Source organism: Homo sapiens, chromosome 8 (genome assembly GCF_000001405.40).
Source record: "Homo sapiens chromosome 8, GRCh38.p14 Primary Assembly".
Lineage (NCBI taxonomy): Eukaryota > Metazoa > Chordata > Mammalia > Primates > Hominidae > Homo > Homo sapiens.
In genome coordinates this window covers 17,858,140-17,881,282 of record NC_000008.11, presented here as the reverse complement: position 1 = coordinate 17,881,282, position 23,143 = coordinate 17,858,140, and the positions used below count along the sequence as shown (strand labels likewise).

At 38.1% G+C, this 23,143-nt stretch overlaps 1 protein-coding gene and 1 long non-coding RNA gene across 6 annotated transcripts in view; one reads left to right on the top strand and one right to left on the bottom strand.

The window, feature by feature from the left end:
* FGL1 (fibrinogen like 1) overlaps positions 1-16,894 on the top strand; it is a 31,150-nt gene extending 14,256 nt beyond the window's left edge. For 3 of the 5 annotated variants that reach the window (NM_201552.1, NM_147203.2, NM_201553.1), the window contains 5 exons: positions 6,762-6,921; positions 7,167-7,264; positions 12,279-12,367; positions 12,548-12,735; positions 16,532-16,892. In NM_201552.1, the coding sequence (NP_963846.1) occupies positions 6,762-6,921; positions 7,167-7,264; positions 12,279-12,367; positions 12,548-12,735; positions 16,532-16,691 (695 nt within the window). In that variant the 3' untranslated portion in view covers positions 16,692-16,892. Of the gene's footprint in view, positions 1-6,761; positions 6,922-7,166; positions 7,265-12,278; positions 12,368-12,547; positions 12,736-16,531 lie in introns of all 5 variants that reach the window. The other 2 variants (XM_047421577.1, NM_004467.4) reach the window with 1 other exon arrangement.
* A 3,319-nt stretch (positions 16,895-20,213) lies between these two features.
* Positions 20,214-20,815, bottom strand: LOC124901893 (uncharacterized). Its single transcript, XR_007060835.1, has 2 exons — positions 20,515-20,815; positions 20,214-20,325 (listed from the first exon to the last, which is right to left on the bottom strand). It is a non-coding gene; the product is annotated as an uncharacterized LOC124901893 (long non-coding RNA).
* Positions 20,816-23,143: the final 2,328 nt, after the last annotated feature.

Here is a 23,143-nt window from a genome sequence, read left to right as displayed (position 1 = left end):
TGCCTGTAGTCCCAGCTACCTGGGAGGCTGAGGCAGGAGAATCACTTGAACCCAGGAGTCGCAGGTTGCAGTGAGCCAAGATCGTGCCACTGCACTCCAGCCTGGGCAACACAATAAGACTCTGTCTCAAAAAAAAAAAAAAAATCCGTGTACACATGGCAGATTACAATTGGGAATTTTTGCATTTGAGCTTTGTGTTTGTGTATCTTTCCTTGTTGCATGTATGCAGTTTTCCCTTCTGAAATCCTAATGTGCATTAGGGTGGCAAATAAGGTAAAAAATAAAGGAGCAGAAAAAGGAAAAAGAACCAGAATTACTAAGGAAAATAAAAGAGTAGTTTTTTATATGTATATTTTCTGATTTCATAATGTTCCTTTCAATGAGGTATTTCTCCCCAGAAACTAAATGATTTTAAACTGGCAACACATTACACACATTGCTGCACAAATCATTATTCTCTATGGAAAACTGTTCACTTGAATTCCTCCAGAAGTAAAAGGTATCTTTTAGAGTAAACGACGATTGTCAGAAACAAAAAGAATGCTAGCGAAAGCACTTTGTCCATATGTCTATTCTAGCACTACCATGCTACATTGTAATTTCTGTTTATGAGTCTATTGAGGTCAATTAACTGGGCACTCTGTGAGGTCTAGAATGATATTTAATGTACTTTTATCTCCCTGTTGGCTATTAGAGTGCCTGAAACATAGTAGATCCTCATATTCAGGAATGAAAGGAAGGTAGTTCATAGGGAGAGGAATAGCAAGATAAGCAAATATAAATTCGGACACCTATTTGACTAGAATTGAAAGACTGTAGAGGTCAAAGAGTTGCCAATCTTATGGGAATAGAAACATGTTTATTTTCTGCTTCTAATCATACAAGTGTAGGATATAGGAGTTGTGAGAGTCTATGCTTCCATAAAATGCTTCAGGGCACCTGGCTGGCTCACACTGTAGCGCATGAGACTCTTAAAATGCTCCCTTTTTTTCTACCAAGATCCTTATCTCCCTCTGCTCAGACTCCTCGCCCTGGGCTCCTGCTTCTCTTATGGCCAGCATCTTGATCCAACTGCCCTCCCTCTGGCCCTTAGAGATCAGAAAGAGGCCAGAGCCAGTGGTCTGCAGTAGTGGGGATGGCTATAGCCTGAAGATGGCCAGTGCCTCTGGAGCCAAGAGGAACCAGGGACAGTTCGGGTAAAAATGGGCTTGGGAAGCAAACGGACTATCGTTTAAGGGATGAGCATACAGATAAGTGATCCCAAAAGAACATACAAAGCTGATCTCAAGGGCGAGGAACTCGTAGATGCCAGTGGATCATCATTACTCCAAATTTCAAACCAAGCCCAAGACTTGGGGTTTCTATTTGAACACATTCTGAGCAGGTTATTGGCACAGACTCAAGGGTCAATCATGGCAGGGGGCAGCTAATCAGATGTTTGTTCCCAGGCCTCTACAACCAGTCATGGGAAGACTGAGGCTTAAGTGCTGTATTAGTCCGTTCTCATACCGCTATAACGAAATGAATGAGGCTGGGTCGTTTATAAAGAAAAGAGGTTTAATTGGCTCATGGTTCTGCAGGCTGTAAAGGAAGCATAGCAGCATCTGCTTCTGGGGAGGCCTCAGGGAACTTACAATCATGGCAGACGGCAAAGCAGAAGCAGGCACATCTCACATGGTGGGAACAGGAGAAAGAGAGGGAGGAGGTGCGACACTGTTTCAAAAACCAGATCTCATGAGAACTCACCACTCACTGTAGAGTACCAAGAGAGATGGTGCTAAAACATTCATGACAACTCCACCCCCATGAGCCAATCGCCTCCCACTAGGCCTTCCCTCCCACACTGGGAACTACAACTCAACATGAGATTTGGTGGGGACACACATCCAAATCATATCAAGAGCTGAAGATCCAGTCCTTGTGTTGACACTGCTGGGGAGCAGACTTTGGGAAGTAAGGGGTCACCAAGGAATAAGGCAAGAAATCAGTTACTTGGAAATTACGATGCCAAGGTCAGAGCAGGATTAACTGTACAAGCAGGAGTTAGAAGAGTCATATAGAGATGCTTCAGAAAAAACATTATAATTATTATAAATATAATACTGTTATAATAATAAGACAGATGATAGGAATTCTAGATGACTGTTTTTTGATATAAAAGCCAAAAAAATCAGAATTCAGTAGATTAAAACAATATTTTTCATATATTAATTACAAGCATGAAGAAGAAAAAGGGGAAATAAAATATAAACACAGTTCAATTGTTCTTTATATTTTAGCATATAGGGAGATAGTACTGGAGAGGCTACTAAGAACAGATACTCAATAAATAAAATATATAACATAAAAATTCCAATAAAGTATAGTGTTTTATATATATATAATATGGTATAAAATATATAAGAACTTGTTCACCTCAAAGTTTATGTTTTTGGTGTCCTTAAATTGAAAACAATTAAATATTCATACATATAATCTGTAGAAATATAAATCTTTTCTTCTTATTTACAAGTTACTTTATTATTACTAAATTAGTTATTTTCTGAATTCTAATTTATCTGATGGTAGAAAACACCCAATTACATACAACCTAGCAATTTGTGCAAACAATGCACTAGGCACATGATTTTCTACAGCATACTATTAAGCTGTATCTTTTTTTAAAGAATTTGGGTGCTAGCGGATTATGAATTAAAAGGTTACTGTGTCAAATTCACATTAACTGGTGGCAAGAACAAAAATCTGGCGTCACCACCGCCGTTCACTTGACAACACCACTGGCTCCAGCATCTCCCCTTCTTCAGGAGCCCCCAGTCTGCATGTGAGTGTCTTGAGGCAGGTTACAAAGTGGCCTAAGGTGTTGACTCTGGAGTTTGATTTCAAAGTCCAGCTGCCCATCTTGCTAGCTGTGGCCTTTGGGGACATTACATAACCTCTGTGTGTCCCATATTCCCCATCTGAAGAATGAGAATAAGAATGCTGTGTATTTGTTGTAAGGATTAAAATATATTCAAATGAGTGAAAATATTTTGGCCAGGTGCCATGAATCATGCCTGTAATCCCTGCACTTTGAGAGGCCGAGGTGGGAGGAACACTTGAGGCCAGGATTTCAAGAACAGCCTGGGCAACATAGTGAGACTCTAACACTATAAAAAAAAAATTGCCAGGCTTGGTGGTGCATGCATGCAGGCCCAGCTACTCAGGAGGCTGAGGCAGGAGGATTGCAGAAGTTTGGGGCTGCAGTGAGCTGACTGTGCCACTGCACTACAACCTGCCTGGGTAACAGAGTGAGACCCGTCTCAAATAAATAAATAAACAAAATAAAATGAGTTAATATATTTAACATCGTAGAGCAAAAGAAGTACTCAGTGAATGCCAGCTATCTATGGACATTATTATAGCCTTGTTTTCAAGGAAGAAAGCCTACTCACTCTACCCTACAAGAGTATCGCATTCTCTCAATATTAATTTAATTGCACATTTAAAAATAACAAAGAGAGCAAAATTGGATTGTTTGTAACACAAAGGATAAATGCTTGAAGGGATGGACACCTCATTTTCCATGATGTGATTATTATGCATTGCATGCCTTTATCAAAATATCACATGTACCCCAACAAATACATACACCTACTATGTACCCACCTTCCTTTATCCTTTTTTTTTTTTCCTTATGTTGCCTGGGGGTGAAGATGGCGGTAGCAGGGCCAGTTCTCGCATATCCCAACATGCTCTGGGGAGTGGCAGCTGACCTCTGTTGCTTACCTCTTTTTGTGTTTAGAATGTGGGGTACTTTGTGCCTTTGGTTCTCAGCTTTGTGCCTCAGCCACCATCCTGAGACAAGAGGAAAAAGCCCATTTGGCAGGCTGTCATGTCACTTTATGAGCTTAAACATTCAGCCTTCCAACATGGCTTACTTTCTGCATGATCAGAGAAAGGACACACATAACCCAGTTTAATACAGTGTTTGTCAAAACAGAAGGCAGGATGCCTTGGCCTCTGTCTAGTATTATGTAAATATTCAAAATTCTTTTTCTTTTTTAAAAAAAAAACTCCCATGAACACAAAGCTCTTTAACCTTGCCTTTCTTCTACCTATTCTCCAGGGAGTTGAGTGGGTCAGAACATTTTGAAAATCATCGTTTTAAATATCAAGTTCATATTTTAAATTCTACATTTTTCATACTTTCTGCTGTTACGATTTAAGTCTCATTTCCCAAAGCAGGCTTCTTAACTTGTTAGCTATAAGCAAATTGAACTACTGGTGCTTTTTTGCTTTTTTAATGTTTATTTATTTGTTGGGGGTTTTGTTGTTGTGTTACTGTTTATTTCAGTTAAAAGCTTTTCTTAAGTTGTGTTTGGCATTTTCTTCTGGGGAGAAGGAAAATTTCAAAAACAAGACCAAAGAAATAACAAACTCGCAGTTAGCATAAAATAATAACAAGTAGAAAATTTTGGCTGAAACCTCTATATTCACTAAGTTTTCCAGAGGCAAATGTTATAGCTAATCACTTCCATATTTGCCTGGAAAATAGTTTGATCCTTGTGAGTCTTTAGTATTCAGCTCTTTGGTAGGAAATTTAATGTAAGCAAAAAGCTTCTTTCCAAATAGGGCTAAAATCTGCTTACTTTAATAAAAGTGTTGTACTATATACTTGACTACAAGATGTAAACTTTATAACAACATTGAACTAATTTTAGATAATCATTTTCTCATTGTTTTGCTTCTTGTTTAATTGCCAAAACAGGATCCTTTTTATAATTTAGCATGTATATGAACGCATGTGCTTCTGAATCTTGAAAATAAATATATGAATAAAGCCTAAATCATTACAAAGGTAAACATCTCACCAAAGCAGGAGTATATGGTTGGTCCCAACCATGTGAAGGCTTTATAAAATGACTAAGGTTCTTTCTTTTCTTTTCTCTTCTGATGTCTATGGCCTATTCACCTACTTAATGTGCAATATATTTTATCTGTAACAAAACAAGAGAGTTGTAAATTTGGCAATCTAGTATCAAAACAATGAACATTTGTTTTTAAATCTTTAAACATCTTTAAAATATGCTACAAGAATGGAATTATCCAATAAGAAAAAAATTTTTTGTTAAGGAAATTAACAAAGCGATAAGGGTAAAAGTGAAAGTTGATGATGTTATAGTATTTTTATTCAAATGTTTGTAGACGGCTCTTCTTGAGATTGTTTATAGTGACCACTACTTCAATCATCCTAAAACCTAGCTTTCTATGCATCTGAACAATAGAGAGGTCCCCATTTGCCACGTTCTCTAAGTCTGTACAGATCAACCTAGGTGAGACCCAATGGGTATTAATTTACATCACCCTCAAGTGGCTTAAGGAACAGACATCACCATTTGGCAGGGTGTGGTGGCTCACACCTGTCATCCTTTCACTTTGGAGGCCGAGGCGGGCGGATGGCCTGACCTCAGGAGTTTGAGACCAGTCTGGCCAACATGGCAAAATCCAGTCTGTACTAAAAATACAAAAAAATTAGCCAGGTGTGTAGGTGCGTGGCTGTGATCCCAGCTACTCAGGAGGCTGAGGCAGGAGAATCGCTTGAACCCGGGAGGCGGAGGTTGTAGTGAGCCGAAATAGCACCATTGCACTCCAGCCTGGGCGAAAGAGCAAGACTCTGTCTCAAAGGAAAAGAAAGAAAGAAAGAAAGAAAGAAAGAAAGAAAGAAAGAAAGAAAGAAAGAAAGAAAGAAAGAAAGAAAGAAAGAAAGAGAAAGAAAGAAAGAAAGAAAGAAAGAAAGAAAGAAAGAAAGAAAGAAAGAAAGAGATATCACTTTTTGGTGACAAAGGGGTAGCTACATTTGCTTCAGTGTTCAAAGAAATACCACAGCAAAAAAGAATTAAGGGATGAAAAGAATAGCAGAAGCTTGCAGTTTTTAGCAAAAACATCTAAGAATGTATGGACTTTTAGAAACTTCAGTGGGTTAGTAAAAAATCTAATAAGGCTAAGAGATTATAAGATTTTGACAAGATTATGGGTGCAGCACACCAACATGGCACACATATACATATGTAACAAACCTGCATGTTGTGCACATGTACCCTAGAACTTAAAGTATAATAATAAAGATTTTTACAAGATTACTATTTTGGGTTCATTTTCAGATGTCCAGAATGATTTATCATGCTCTAAGTCAGGATAACCTGTAGTAACTTTGGTGTTAACATTTCTGCTTTCATTTTAGCTTCATGGGTGAGATAAATTTTACTATTCCGTCTGATAAAACTGTAAGTTCCACCTAAATATACTGTTATTAACAGACTACTCATAACTTGTTTTTTTTAAGATTGTTTTCTACAAAACTCAGAAATTAGAAACTAAGCTCACACCTGTAATCCCAGCCCTTTGGGAGTCTGTGGTGGGAGGATAGGATTGTTTGAAGCCAGGAGTTCGAGACCAGCCTGGGCAATATAGTGACACGCCCCCATTTCTTAAAAAAAATGTAAAAGAAAAAAGAAGAAAGAAACAAAAAACTAGATTCTTATTTCACTCCCCTTTTTTCCTCGATGATTATATCAAGGATTCAGGTGGCAAATTTTAGCAAAGGAAATAAAACTTTCCTAATATCCACTGGAAGATGTACAAGATGCAATTTTAAAACGCTGATTTCTATACCATGTGTTATCTGTCTCCAGTGATACTGAGTAGTCTCATTCAGAGGCTCCCTAAGGCGGGGGGAGAAAAAGACACATAATGAATGTTACATTACCTTGTTTTAAAAACAGATTGTTCAGAGATTTTCAATGATGGGTATAAGCTCAGTGGATTTTACAAAATCAAACCTCTCCAGAGCCCAGCAGAATTTTCTGTTTATTGTGACATGTCCGATGGAGGAGGATGGACTGTAATTCAGAGACGATCTGATGGCAGTGAAAACTTTAACAGGTGTGCTAATTATGATGTAAGACTTTATATGTAGCAGCAAATGTGAGATTTATAAGTCAAATATTTTGATCATATCCTGAAGCCTATTAATTAGACAGAATTTCAATCTCTCTAAAGAAGAATACTGAAAATGAATTAACTAATCAAGAAAATATTGGAGGTGGTGGTAGCAGGGGGTGGGTGGTGGTCGCTTTGGTACCACAAATGGAGTTTGCTCTAATCGGCTTCCACTTTACCTTTTTTAGAGGATGGAAAGACTATGAAAATGGCTTTGGAAATTTTGTCCAAAAACATGGTGAATATTGGCTGGGCAATAAAAATCTTCACTTCTTGACCACTCAAGGTAAGGTTTGAATGATGTCAGATTTATTTGAAATATAATAAAAACAACACTAAAATTTTTTTTTAACCAAATTATAGGCAATGGAACTAATTCAATAATTGCTATGATTTGCAGATGGCAGTGATAACTTTTGGGCAATAATCCCAAATGTAAAATGTGGCTGCCTAAAATTAGAAACAGAAAAAAAAGCTAGAATTGGGTTGCGGGGAATTGTTTTCACATATATATTTATGAGAAATATCTAAATATATTTATAGATATATATACATTCTATACATAGTATATATGTAGCTATATATAGATATATAGAATATAAGTCGCTATATGTATCTATAGATATATATAGAATATATATATATTCTACTTCTGAAAAGGATATATAATGTCATAATTATTCCTTTTTGATGCCTTGAGTTCCTGGAGATTATATATGCTGTATCAGTTACCTAATGTCACAATAATAACGTGTAACAATCCTCTTCCAAAGCTTAGTGGCTTAAAATCAACAACCATTTATTACTTCTCACAAATCTGCAGGTTGGCTGGGTGATTTTGCTGATCAGGGCTGGGCTCTGCTGATCATGGCTGGGCTTGCTTATGAGTCTGCCATCAACTTCCTCACTGAAGTTGCTGCTCTGGGATGGAAGGATTCAACCTGGCTCCATAGGGTCTCTCATCTTCCAGCTAGCTAGCCTGGACTTGTTTTTGTAGCACAGGCAGGGTTCCACAAAAAAGAGTGGATGTATATAAGTCTCTTGAGATCTAGGCCCAGAATTGGCATGGAGTCATTTTTCTTCTATTGGTGAAAGCAAATCACAGGAGCAGCTCAGACTTTTTTTTAAAAGGAAGTAAACAATAGGAGGAGCTATGAAGACATATTATGAGAGAGAGGTGAACAATTGGGCAATTGGTGCTATTTTTCCAATAAAACACTATAATATATGAAATGTCCATGTTTCCACATACATCTCATCTTTAATGCTGAAATTTTTTCAAAGCTGCAACCAATTTGAAAGAAGTTTCAACCTACCACCTGTATCCTACATTAACATTTTACTTTGCTTGTTTTTGTTACGTATCTATCCGTTTGCCCATTACTCAATCCGTCCATCAATCCATCTTTTCTGTATATATATTTCAAAGTAAATAGCAGACATCTGGATGTCTCCCTATATACTTTTAAATTCTTATCTTTAGAGTTTAATATTTGTCTAAAATATCATTGTTTTGATAACGACTTTTCCCAGCTTCTATCTCCCATGTTCTTTTGCTCCAATCCATTGTCTTCCCTACCTCTGTTGTAGTCTGAGATTATCATCAGTCCCACTCAAGTCTGATCCTGAATCCTTCATAAAAGGCAACTGTAATGCCCAAAAAAGCATGCTAAGTTACACTGCAATTGCATTAAAAATAAACAGCTGGGCATGGTGGCTCATGCCTGTAATCCCAGCACTTTGGGATGCTGAGGTGGGTGGACCCCTTGGGGCCAGGATTTCGAGACCAGCCTGGCCAACATGGTGAAACCCCATCTCTACTAAAAATACAAAAATTAGCCAGGCATGGTGGCACAGCACTGTAATCCCAGCCACTTGGGAGGCTGAGGCAGGAGAATTGCTTGAACCCAAGAGGCGGAGGTTGCAGTGAGCCAAGATTGCGCCAATCCACTCCAGCCTGGGTGACAGAGCAAGACTCTGTCTCAAATAATAATAATAATAAAGTAATTAAGATAAAACAAAAGTTCCTTTGTTCCATCCAAGTTCTGGAAAGCTATTGGTGTTTCTATATTTATAGTAGTAGGCTTATGGTTATAAAGTTCTTTGAGACACTAGAATGATAAACATTAGACAGGATGAGTAATCCTAGAAACCTTATACTTTCTTTGTATGTCCTTCTTATGATCAGTGCTCTCTAAATTTACATAACGCTTCCTTTCCTTCAACATATCTATTATTCTAGTTTTAAGTGTTTTATGCCAGATATATAAAATTTGCCATACCAACTTCTGTTTCATTTGCACATTGATATTTATCTGGTTTCTTATTGAAACTATGAAAACCCCAGAGCAGTAACCCTTGGCTCTTTCTAAATATATGAAATTCAAACGTATTATTTTTTAAGTTATTATGATGTACATATTTTCCCAGAGGAACTTTGCCAACAAACCTGTTCCTTTTCATATATCAACTTGGTACTCAGGCTGGCTAATCTCGTTGGAGAAAAAACGTGTTTTTCAGTTCCTGGGCCCCCACCCACGTATCCCATCAATCCAGACAATAGCCAGTGTTTTTGTCTCTGCATTCTTTAATTATGAGAGCATTACGGCTAATGAATTAATGAATTACCTCTGAGAATAGCTTTATCCCCACTACATAAATCTCAACTAGAAGTAGTGGCAATAAAATTGATTTAGAAATGGTAAATATAATTTGTTTACTTATTGAACAAAGAGACATTTCAATGTTAGCCAAAAAATTGAGTCTTTATGTCTCTGTTATAATAGAAGTTTTTTTTTTTTGTTTTTTTTTTTGAGACAGATTTTTGCCTGTTGCCCAAGCTGGAGTGCAGTGGCACAGCCTTGGCTCACTAAAACCGCTGACTCTTGGCTCAAGCAATTCTCATGCCTCAGCCTCCTGAGTAGCTGGGATTATAGGCGCACACCACCACACCCAGCTAATTTTTGTATTTTTAGTAGAGACGGTGGTCTCACCATGCTGACCAGGATGGTCTCAAACTCCTGGCTTCAAGTCATCTGCGTGCCTTAGCCTCCCAAAGTGCTTGAATTACAGGTATGAACCACCGCATCTCGTCTGTAATAGAATATTTTTAAAGACAGTTGACTTAGCCTGCCTTGCTGCTCTTATACACTCTACAGTCTTTTCTCCTGTGACCTTTACTACCTTGAGAGAGCTCCCTGGGGCAAGGAAATTGTGGTGCTAAATCAACAAGCCCAAGAGAGGCCCGCATCACCTCTTAAAGGGACTCCAGTCTTGAGGAATCCAGCATTCCCTGCCCCAACAGCCTTGAGTTTGTTTATAGGACTCCTTCAGGATGTTCTCGTCCTGGTGTGTGCACCCTTAAGCTTGAGGGGAGGCTAAAAAATGGCTTTTTTTTTTTGAGACAGAGTCTCACTCTGTAGCCAGGCTGGAGTGCAGTGGCGCGATCTCGGCTCACTGCAACCTCTGCCTCCCGGATTCAAGCAATTCTCCTGCCTCAGCCTCCTGAGTAGCTGGGATTACAGGCACGTGCCACCATGCCCAGCTAATTTTTGTATTTTTAATAGAGACAGGGTTTCACCATGTTGGCCAGGATGGTCTCGATCTCCTGACCTTGTAATCCACCCAACTTGGGTGTGAATAGAACTTGGATATGCAGCCTGGGATGTCCACAAGTGGATCCAAAGCCCCTTGCTATAAGTGATGGAGATGGGGATGGAAAGAGAGAAGAGGCCAACCAGAGATGGGGCCTAGGTGATAGGACTATTCAGGGACTCTCTTTCCCAGTGCCTCCATGGTCTGGCTTGAAACTCCAAGGAAAGTGAGGCTCTAAATTCTAACCCGACCTTACAGGTCATTGTTATATCTTATTTATCAAAGTAGGAGGATAGAACACATGTGATCTAATAATTTGATTTATAACATTTGGTGCCCCTGACAAGAGTTCTGTTTCTGAAAAAGGAATAGTCTTTGTTATTTCCAAACAATGGGAAAAAAAAGATTACTTGAAGGTAGCAATTATTTTAATCATTTTAAAAACATAATGCTCTTATATCGCCTAGAATTTTTACAGTCATTAAAGTATATCTTTAATGTTTAGAGATTTTTTGTCATCATATATCATTCTTTAGCATATATAAAAGATAATATGTACCCAATACATTGTATTCTTTTTTTTGTTTTTTTGTTGTTTTTTGCGACGGAGTCTCGCTCTGTCGCCCAGGCTGGAGTGCAGTGGAGCAATCTCGGCTCACTGCAAGCTCTGCCTTCTGGGTTCACGCCATTCTCCTGCCTCAGCCTCCCAAGTAGCTGGGACTACAGGTGCCCGCCACCATGCCCGGCTAATTTTTTGTATTTTTTAGTAGAGACGGGGTTTCACAGTGTTAGCCAGGATGGTCTCTATCTCCTGACCTCGTGATCCGCCCGCCTCGGCCTCCCAAAGTGCTGGGATTACAGGCGTGAGCCACCGCCCCGGCCCCATTGCATTCTTAAAATGCTTTCACATGTAGATATCAGTTCTTCAGAAATACCTTTTTACTCAGAGTCATTGATGTTAGTATATTTTCCAGTAATTATCATCATCTCTGCCATTGAGAATGTTGGTGGTACAGCATTTCTCCAGAATGTTTCCTTATTGCCTCTGAAATTCTCTTCCAATGACATCCACTCTACATACTTTGATGCTAAGAGTCTCTTGATCTTATGAGCCAGTATCAAACGAAGGTTTTCGGATAACAATTAGGATTCATATTTCTTCCTCAAATTATTCTTAAAGGGTTTCCTGGCTGATCTTTTATGCTATCAGGAAAATAACCAAGTTCAGGCATATGCAGGCAATGGCAACTACATTTTACAAACCTAGTGGCTCAGCTACTAGAGATTACACAATGTCATTAATAGCCACCATTTATATTCAAGATCAACATTCTTACTGAAATCAAGAAAAAGAGGTCAAACTATTAAAGGTAAAACGTCGACCCTTTCATTGTTAGATTGCTTTAAGTAATCACTTATTTTTTCTGTTGTTCATTATTCAGTGAATTGCACTAGGTTTTACCTCTAAGAGATCTAGTAGACATTTTTTAAATTTAATATTGTATCCATCATTTTTTTTCAAATAAATTACACGATAAAATGTTCATGTTATATATACAAAGGAGTCACTGTTTAATCTTTGAAAACTGATTCTTGGCCAAGGGAAATGGTAAAATTAAAATAGAGCTGTGAATTATTTTTAAACCGCAGTAGTCCGTGTCATGTCACACATTTTTAAAAATTATAATTGCTTGTTTCTTTTTTAGAAGACTACACTTTAAAAATCGACCTTGCAGATTTTGAAAAAAATAGCCGTTATGCACAATATAAGAATTTCAAAGTTGGAGATGAAAAGGTACTACAATTTTCTAAGAAGTAAAACCGTGAATAAATGCTTAAAATGTGCAATATAACCCTGGAGTCAGTGGAAATAAAAATATACAATAGAACCTGTTCTTTTGTTTATGAAATAAACTTAATTTTAAAATGGTCATAGAGGAACTCCACTGACAGCAGAAATGCCCTTTTTCTTTAGAATTTCTACGAGTTGAATATTGGGGAATATTCTGGAACAGCTGGAGATTCCCTTGCGGGGAATTTTCATCCTGAGGTGCAGTGGTGGGCTAGTCACCAAAGAATGAAATTCAGCACGTGGGACAGAGATCATGACAACTATGAAGGGAACTGCGCAGAAGAAGATCAGTCTGGCTGGTGGTTTAACAGGTTTGATGTCTTATGAGCATAGTTGTAATGGAGTTGATGATATCTCACTGATAGACATTAATTATCAATATAATATGTATGGTAATGTTAGTCTTTATTTATAATATTAGTATTATTAAGTAATCATTCTCATTAGAATTCTTCAGCAATGAAGTCGTTTTGAGGATTTGTTCATTGTGTACATTAGTAAAGTGTAAATGTCATAGAAATAAATTATTACTTTTACAAAGATCATTTGCAAACTGAATTATGGATGAGTTATAAATAGAAGGCCACAAATTCACACAAAGAAAGAGAGAGCATGTATATATATGGAGACTATTTGGCATCCTAATAACCAACTAGTTCTTCACCTGACCATATCACACAAAAGAGCCACCGTTATTGCTGTAATGCTTCTGTATAGTACTACTTTTCAATCACTATGGCTTTCATTAATTCATTGAGTCTAAGCCTCTCCCAATACAGAAATTTCCTTTACAATAATCCAGAAACCTAATTCTACCCTCTGACTGAATACATTCATGTTACTTTATCAGCAAATTCATTCCGTTTTTGATTGTATATAGTTGCTTCTTTTTTTACTGATACAAAATATTTTATATATTTCTGGGGTACATGGGCTAATTTTTGCATTTTTGGTAGAGATGGGGTTTTGCCATGTTGCCCAGGCAGGTCTCGAACTCCTGGCCTCATGTGATCCACCTACCCCGGCCTCCCAAAGTGTTGGGCGTGAGCCACCGCACCCTGCCGAATTCATAAGTTTTAAATTGCATGTCATTCTGAGCAGAGATTCGCACCATTGGATTCTTTCTGCCCAGGAGGTGGGTCACCCCTCTGTCTAGCGTATCCACGCTGAAAGCCCTCCCTGCCCCAAGACACTTAGTAGAAGTCTGAGTTATCAGATCCAGTGTTGGAGTTTCATAGTGCTCGTGTTCGAATCATGCTTATTTGATTTAATAATGGTCCCAAAGCACAAGAGCTGTAATGCTGACATATTGTTATATAATCATAATCTTTTATTATTAGTTGTTGTTAATCTCTTACTGTGTCTAATTTATAAATTAACTTTGTCATAGGTATGTATATTATAGGAAAAAACAGAGAACTACTATAGATGGTTTTTTTCCTTCCTACACCCAAAAGATTTTTCCCCCTAGCGTTCTGAAATTTTACAGTGACATACACTGTCGTGGTCTTCTTTTGGTTTACTGCAGTGGGTACTCAGTGGTTCTTTTGAATCTATATCATGTCTTTCAGTTTGGTAAATTTTATTTTCTTTATCTGCTCGTTACTCACTTCGTAGCTGTTTCGGTTATCAGACTGAAAAAGCATAGTATCAATATATAGAATTTGGTATTATCTGTAGTTTCAGGCATCCACTAGGGGTCTTAGAACGTATCCCCTGCAGATAAGGGAGTACTACTGCTGTTGTAAAAATAGTCATCTTTTCTATATTTTGCTTTTTTAAAAAAACATTTGAGTCCATTTAAGATTTGATCATTTATAAAGGAACTGGAGTATTTCCAGCAGTGTGAAGGAGAGAAACAAATTTCACTCTCCTGCTTTGCAAATTGAAGGTGATGATGGTGTTTTCCTTAGTGGTTTTCCTGTTATTTTAAAAACCGTCTTCTTCACCTGTTCCTACTCCTTTCTTTCCCCCTTGTTCTTCTAAGTCAGCATGACATAAAACTTAACGTGTAATTCATGAAGTCATCTGCAAGCATCACCAATGTTTGATTTTGAAAACAATTCCATATACAGAAATAATTACTAATAGTATCCTGAGATCAAAACCATGTACTTTATCCAGCTGACTGGCTTCTAAGGCATCTGAATGAAAACTACCATGTATATTAATGTGGGCAAAGGAACGATTTACCTGACTTTAAAGAAATGGGTTCAGGGAGCACAAAGAAAGGCCATTCATTAGGTGGAGCCTGCCACAGAGCCCACATTATCCTTGGAATCAAAGGGGTTGATAAGGCTGTGCAATTGGAAAATCAGTAGGCATTAAGGGAGAGAAAGTAGATTGTTTTAGAAACTTGGTGCTACTTCTACCATGCCTACTATCAGTGAGTTCGACTATCATCTTTTCTTCCTTCTTACTGTTGCTTTTTTTCTGTCCCATAGTTCTTCTAATTTACATGAAATGTTGGCACTTCATAAATATTACCCACCTATAAAATGTTTTTTTCCACATAGCAAACCAATCACTGCGAGTTGATGTCTTTTCTTTGTTAGTGTAGCATTTCACGTGAGTGTTCACAGCCACTTCTTCACCAAGGAAGACCCAATCATCCCCTAACCTAGTTTCAAATCCAGGCTGTTCTAAAAACTAAACGATGCTAGAAAACTGGTCTCAGAATAGTGAAGGTTTCTTATGTTCATCACAGAGTCAGTTTCCTAATGGGATTCAAATGATAGACCAAATATAAAAATATAGTTAGCAGATGTCTCTAGATAGACAAATATATGCCAAAATATATATTCTGGAGACTCAATTTACAGTATTTTCTTTTTTTAACATTACTTTCCATGCTGTTTTAAAAACACAGTAGGCTTTGACATTTGCAGACTTGACATACATATTTTCAATTAATTACGTCCATTTAAGTTAGGAGGACTTCGAGAACGCTCAGTAGGAGTGAATCATTAAGCTGATAAGTGATTCAAGCCAGCCACTCAGCCTTTACGGGTAGATTATATGCTTTTTTGATTCAATAATTTGGGTTTTTCCATAGATGTTCAGAACTACCTCTTGTGAATGTTCTCCTTCTATCCTAATTCTGACATCTTTTCATTAATTTTATCAATAAAGAAGTATATGGCAATTAATTTCATAACAACACACATAAACTTATTGCATACTGTTACATGTAAATTATACATATCAAGGACAAAATTTACAGACTCCAAAGGAGGAAAGAAACATTTTTATATTGTCGATAACCTAACCAGCTTATCTAGATTGGTGCAATATATGTAAAAAATTAACTCAGCAACTAGGAAAAAATGATTATTGGTTGATGGGTGGCAAAACTTTAAATGGTGATTTAGGTTTGTTTGCTTACCCTTGAGATTGAAATAACTGATAGGCTAGCAATTTAAAGAAGGGGACATACGGAGTTTGAATTATGAAAGCTAAGTCTTAGCAGCAGAGGAATGAACGTGTGAGTGCAAATTATCCAGGAAAGCCAGTAGTAGAGCACCTTGCCCACGACTTGCTTTGCTGACACTCACCTTAGCTCTTGTTAAGTATGAAATTAACACTGTTCTGAGTCAGGAGGTTGTAAGGCTGGAGGTTACAAGGATGCGTTTTTGTTTGCTTGTTTTAATTTTTTGTTTAAAGAAAATCAAAAATTGAAATGCTTATTTTTCAATGCACTGTGAGTGGCCTGGGTTGTATTTTCAGATTTGTAATGGCAGTAAAACTCACCATTTTAAAATACCCATCTCTGAGGCCAGGCGCAGTGGCTCACACCTGTTATCCCAGCAGTTTGGAAGGCTGAGGCAGGAGGATTGCTTGAGCTCAGGAGTTGGAGACCAGCCAGGGCAACACAGTGAGACACTGTCTCTATTATTAAAAAAAAATTAAAAAATAAAAAATAAAATACAATAGCCATCTGTTGTAGAAATTTCTCAGCTTTTGGAAACTAGTAAATATTTACTTGTCTGAAAAATGGCAGAATTCATAGTTCAAAAATTTTGAGCATTTGTAGCAAAATAAAAGGGATTCTGAACAATATTTTTCCAGTCTGATTGTTGTTTTCTTTTTTTTTCTCCCTTCCACTAGGTGTCACTCTGCAAACCTGAATGGTGTATACTACAGCGGCCCCTACACGGCTAAAACAGACAATGGGATTGTCTGGTACACCTGGCATGGGTGGTGGTATTCTCTGAAATCTGTGGTTATGAAAATTAGGCCAAATGATTTTATTCCAAATGTAATTTAATTGCTGCTGTTGGGCTTTCGTTTCTGCAATTCAGCTTTGTTTAAAGTGATTTGAAAAATACTCATTCTGAACATATCCATGCGCAATCATGATAACTGTTGTGAGTAGTGCTTTTCATTCTTCTCACTTGCCTTTGTTACTTAATGTGCTTTCAGTACAGCAGATATGCAATATTCACCAAATAAATGTAGACTGTGTTAATATTTATTGAATCCCTGTGTGCAAAGGGCTCTGATAAGAGCTTATGTCAGACAAAACATAAAAAGCATGGATTATATACCATGACTTAGGAGATACAAGCATAAATGCATAATAAATTATGAATGCAATTGGCAAAACACATGACAAAATCCAGCAAATAATGGATTGCCGAATCAACCGCAGAGACAATAAATATTATGAGTTGGGATTTGAACTCAGGTTTTGGATTACAGAGTGGAAACTTTTAAGCACAACCCAGGATCTTAATCACTACAAAACGCTACTCGTATTTTTAGGAAGTTTATGTAGGTTATACACTTCTCTCACAGGGCTCATTTTAATTCTTATGCCAATCCTGTGAGGTTATTATTATGTCCATTTAACAGAGCTGAGAATCAGTGGGTCTGAGTTTTTGTGACTGCTCCAAGTTACAAAGTAGGGGAACAAGGCCTCAAATCCAAGTCTTCTGATGCTAAATCAAATATCTTGCCACCATCCTATAGCTTCTTCTGGGTAGAACTTGGATTGGTGCAGAATAGGGAGAGAACGTTTCAAATGAGAGTAAAAGATACTCCAAAAGGCTGGGCACGGTGGCTCACGCCTGTAATCCCAGCACTCTGGGAGGCTGAGGCAGGTGGACCACTTGAGGCCAGGAGTCTGAGACCAGCCTGGCCAACATGATGAAAACCCATCTCTACTAAAAATACAAAAATTAGCTGGGCGTGGTGGTGTGAGCCTGTAATCCCAGCTACTCGGGAGGCTGAGGCAGGAGAATTGCTTAAACCCAGGAAGCAGAGGTTGTAGTGAGCTGAGATCGTGCCAACCTGCACTCCGACCTGGCCAACAAAGCGAGAAGCCATCTCAAGAAAAAAAAAAAAAAAGATACTCTAAAAAATATTTGTGTGTCAACTGTGTGTCAGGCACAGAGGATACAGTTAAAGCCCACACGGAGCTTAGTTTTTTGGTAAACACATACACTAATCATAGAATCACAAAATATACATAATTATAAAAGCTGATATGTATGAAGTAAAGATATGTGCCTGGGGAATGTTTACCAGGAGGATCTGACCTGGCTTTGGGGTAGGAGATCAGAAAAGCTTCCCAGAACAACTGACTTTTTGAGCTGAGACCTTTTAAGAAGGTGTACGTGGGGAGATATTGCAGGCAGAGGGAATCATGTGTGTTAAGTACACAGAGCAGGAAAGTGCTTGGGAACAAAAGCTTAGAAAGCCAATATAGTTGAGTGATCCTTAAATCCTTAAGCCAAGGATTCTGCCACTTAATGGCTATGTGACGTTGGGTAGGCAACTTAACTTCTCTGAGCCCTAGCTATCTCATCTACAAGGTAACGATTACAATAGTACCTGCCTCATAGGGGTGCTTTGAGAATTATAAAACTATAGCACTTGGCATAGTGCCTCGCACAAAGTAAGCATTCAATAAGAACTAGGTGTGTTGACTTGTGAAGTAGGCATTAAGGGACAGTAATGATATAGAGGCCCTTGAAATCATAGGCCACATAAGGATATTAAGGTTAGTTGTACTTTATTCTCTAAATCAGTGTTTCCCAAGCGGCACTTCTCAGTCTTTAGTGTCATACAAACCAACTGAAGATCCTGTTAAAATGTAACTCTGCTTCCAGGATGGGGCCTAATATTTGGGTTTTCTAAGAAGTTTCCAGACAATGCAGATACTGCTGGTCTAGAAATTACACTTTGAAAAGCAAAAAGCTAGAGAGCCATAGTTCTGTGAGACATTGGTAGTTCAGTACAGAAAGAAGAAAAGGGCTGCCTGATCAAATAAATTTAGGAGATGACAAATTCAGCAGAATTCCACAGGTTTCTTCTCTTGGGAATTTCTCAGTTCTCTAATTTTTCTAATGTGCGTTCTGAAGCTCCAAGAAGGACATATAGTATGTAGCATTTTTATATCTAATTAAGAGTATGTTCTGGTGCGAGGTATAAATTGCCTGACTACGGAAGTCCAAACAAATAAAGATTTCTTCATCTTACGTAGTGAGAACTCAGGAGGTAAGTGGTTGCTGACCTATGTTCAGTGCAGCGTGGAGGCTGATGACCCTGCAATTCATTTAGCCCATCCTTCAAAATTGCAAATTATCTACCACGGTTCCTGCTTTGAGTTCGTGTTGAAAGCAGTAAGAAAAGCGAAGGGTCAACAGACTTCAGTTATGCCTTGTTGGTCAGAATTGTATCATATGTTCACTCTGTCTGGAAGTATGATCAGGAGAAAGAATATTTATTTTTATGATCTCTGTAGAATGTGCAGGCAAAGGAGAAATGTTTGCCAGGGTTCTTGATTGTTTTTCAATGTGGTCTTGTGGGAACAGTGTTCCATAAAACACACGTTGGTAAGCTATAAATAATGGATCATCAGTGACAATTTTAAATATGGGCTTAATTGCTCAAGTAGTAGCCTGAAGAACTCACACAATTAGGAGATCAAAAGAAGAAAAGCTTTTAAAGGAGAAAAAAAATGATTCCACAGAGAAGTGGGAGGGGAGCTAAACAAATTATGGCGTCAAACCTCAGTATGATAGTTTTTCAATGCAGAAGGAGTGATTTTAAAAATTTAAAATGCCATAAAATAATGGAAGAGAAGTTCTAATGAAATATCTTCGGACTTAGTGATAATGCTATTTGTGTTATTAAATCCGTTTCAGTGGAATGGTAGGGAGCTCTAGGCCAGGAAATAAAAGCAGTTAGAGAGAATAGATTGGGGCCTGGAGCAGTGGCTCACGCTTGTAATCCCAACACTTTGGGAAGCCTAGGTGGGTGGATCACTTGAGGTCAGGAGTTTGAGACCAGCCTGGTCAACATGGTGAAACCCAATCTCTACTAAAAATACAAAAATTAGCTGGGCATCATGATGCATACCTGTAGTCCCAGCTACTCGGGAGGCTGAGGCAGAAGAATCGCTTGAACTGGGGAGGTGGAGGTTGCAGGGAGCCGAGACTGTGCCACTACACTCCAGCCTGGGCGACAGAGTGAGAGACTCATCCAAAAAATAAAAAAGAGAGAGAATAGAGATTGGTCATTTGAGGAGTTTGGATGTAAAATAGGGAAACTGGACTGATTTTTTCTGAATTAGGAAGACCCCAGCCTAAAATAAATGTCTCTGAAATTTCACCATTAGTGAGCTATTTATTAGACTTTATCACTTTTTGAAATGCAAAATGCTTTTAATTTGTATCAGCTGATTCCACTTTAAGGTCAACAAACTCGTGAGTGTTTTGAATTTTTTTTTTTTTGATAGAGCAAAGTGTAGAGAAAGTGCAAGAAGCATGAACAGAGAATCCACTGGATTAGAAACTCTTTATTTTAGAGGCTGCATTCATCTTGTTGACAGTTTTATCTCCAGCTCTCCGCACAGTGTCTGACACATGACAGGATCTCGAATGTTCGTTGACTGACTGATTGAGGAAATAAGTAAAAAAAGAAACCATATAATGAATGTAAAGTGTATAGTTCATAGAAGAGTGCTACTTCATTTGATATTACAGAACTTATGGCCACTGGTTATTTCTATGAATATCAAAATATTGGATCCTACAAAATCAGTGTCTAAAAATAGTATCAAATTTAAGATCCCAGATACTTACTTTTGCTTTTTCTTTCCTCATTGCTAGTAAAGAATTTACAAGGGCCAGGCGCAGTGGCTCACGCCTGTAATCCCAGTACTTTGGGAGGCCAAGGCGGTCGGATCACCTGAGGTCAGGAGTTCGAGACCAGCCTGGTCAACATGGTGAAACCCCGTCTCTACTAAAAATACAAAAATTAGCCCGGTGTGGTGGCACACGCTTGTAATCCCAGCTGCTCGGGGGGCTGAGGCAGGAGAATCACTTGAACCCGGGAGGTGGAGGTTGCAGTGAGCCGAGATTGTGCCATTGCACTCCAGCTTGGGTGACAGCGTAAGACTCTACCTCAAAAAAAAAAAAAAAAAGAAAAAAAGAATTGACACATGAAGATATCCTATATAATCTTATGCACATAGCAAAGTTTTTGTTGGTATTTTATCAGGACTATGAAAAGTAAGTTATATCCTCATTGATACTTAAAAAAGATATACATATCTCATATATATGTGGAAAAAATCTGCATTTTATGTGATAGTGGTTACCTCAGGGGACTGGGCTTGGAGACGCAATGAAAGGACACTCCTTTTTATATTTCCTACCATTTAATGTTGTGAAATGTTTTATCATATGTGCATAGTACATATTTAAGAATAATACTTTTTATATAAACAAAGTGAATAAAATAGGTTGTTCGTCCTAAAGAAACAAATCAAATAACATTAAGGACATGAGTGTATCTGGTATATTACATGTAGGTTTGGCAATTTAGTTCATTTCAAAAACAAAAACAAAAGTCCTGAAGCTAAATTGCTATCAAGCTGCGCTGTGAATACAGCAGCCACCAATCACATGTGACTCCTGCTTACTTGAAATAAGGCTAGTCCTTATTCAGATGAGCTATAAGTATAAAATACACAATGGATTTTGAAGACATAGTATCCCAGAAAAAGAGAAAATACCTCCACAAATAAGAATAATTTTTATGTTGATTACATTGTTAAATAATACTTTGGATGGATGAGGCTAAATAAAATATATTACTAAAACTAATTAGATCTCTGTATTTGTACTTTTTAAATGCCATTATTAGACACTTTACAATTATATATATTGGCCAGACGCGGTGGCTCATGCCTGTAAACTCAACACTTTGGGAGGCCGAGGTAGCCGGACCACTTGAGGTCAGGAGTTTGAGACCAGCCTGGTCAACATAGCAAAAACCCGTCTGTACTAAAAACACAAAAATTAGCAGGGTGTGGTGGGGCACACCTATAACTCTGAGACCCTGAGGCATGAGAATCGCTTGAACCTGGGAGGTGGAGGTTGCAGTGGGCTGAGACCATGCCATTGCACACCAGCCTGAATGACAGAGCAAGACAGCCTCAAAAAAAAAAGAAAAGAAAAAAAAGAAAGACAGAAATTTTAAAATTACATATATTGCTCTCATTACCAGCTTGTCTTATATTTTTATTTGAACAGTAATGCCAAAGAATTTTCATCTAACCTGTATACAGCGTGCCTACAATCTGCATAGATAGTATATGTCTGTTTAGATGTGACTATTGAGTGAATTAATGTTTTTAAAAAACTAGATATACTTTTCTTTTTAAAAAATATATCCAGGCTGGGTGCAGTGGCTCACGCCTGTAATCCCAGCATTTTGGGAGGCTGACACAGCTGGATCACCTGAGGTCAGGAGTTCTAAACCAGCCTGGCCAACATGGCAAAACCCCGTCTCCACTAAAAATACAAAAATTAGCTAGGCGTGGTGGCGGGTGCCTGTAATCCCAGCTTCTTGGGAGGCTAAGGCAGGAGAATCTCTTGCATCTGGGAGGCGGAGGTTGCGGTGAGCCGAGCCGCCATTGCACTCCAGCCTAGGCGAGAGGAGTGAAACTCCATCTCAAAAAAAAAAAAAAAAAAAAAAAAATCCGCTCCAACAGTTAAAAAAGTAAACCATTTATCAAACACAGTGCTAAGTGTTGCAAATACAGCATACATAAACATGGTTTGCCTTTGAAGAACTTACACCCTACAGGGGAGATGTTTCCTTTTTAAAATGCCATTTATAGAACAATACTGAGGCTATTGTAAGCCCCAGATGTCGCTACAAAGAGGGACAGCTATTGTAAAATCATGTCAAAATAGATTTACCCGGCTTATTAGAAAAAGGCTAGATATTCTTTCGTCTTTCATTCATTCTCTTGTAAGGGGTTCCAAAGAGATTTTTTTCAACTTTTATTTTAGCTTCTGGGGGTACACATGCAGGTTTGTTACATGGGTAAATTGCATGTCACTGAGGGTTGGTGTATGAATGGTCCCATTACCCAGGTAGTGAGAAGAGTACCTAATATGTAGTTTTCCAACCCTCCCTCCTCTAGTAGCCACCACTGTCTAACTTTGCCATCTTTATGTCCATGTATATTCAATGTGTGCAGCTCCCACTTATAAATGAGGATACGTGGTATTTGGTTTTCTGTTCCTGCTTTAATTTGCTTAGGACAATGGCCTCCAGCTGCATCCACATTGCTGCAAATGACATAATTTCATTCCTTTTTATGGCTGTGTAGTATTCCATAGTGTACATGTACCAATTTTCTTTACATAGTCTATCGTTGATGGGCATCCAGGTTGGTTCCATATCTTTGCTATTGTG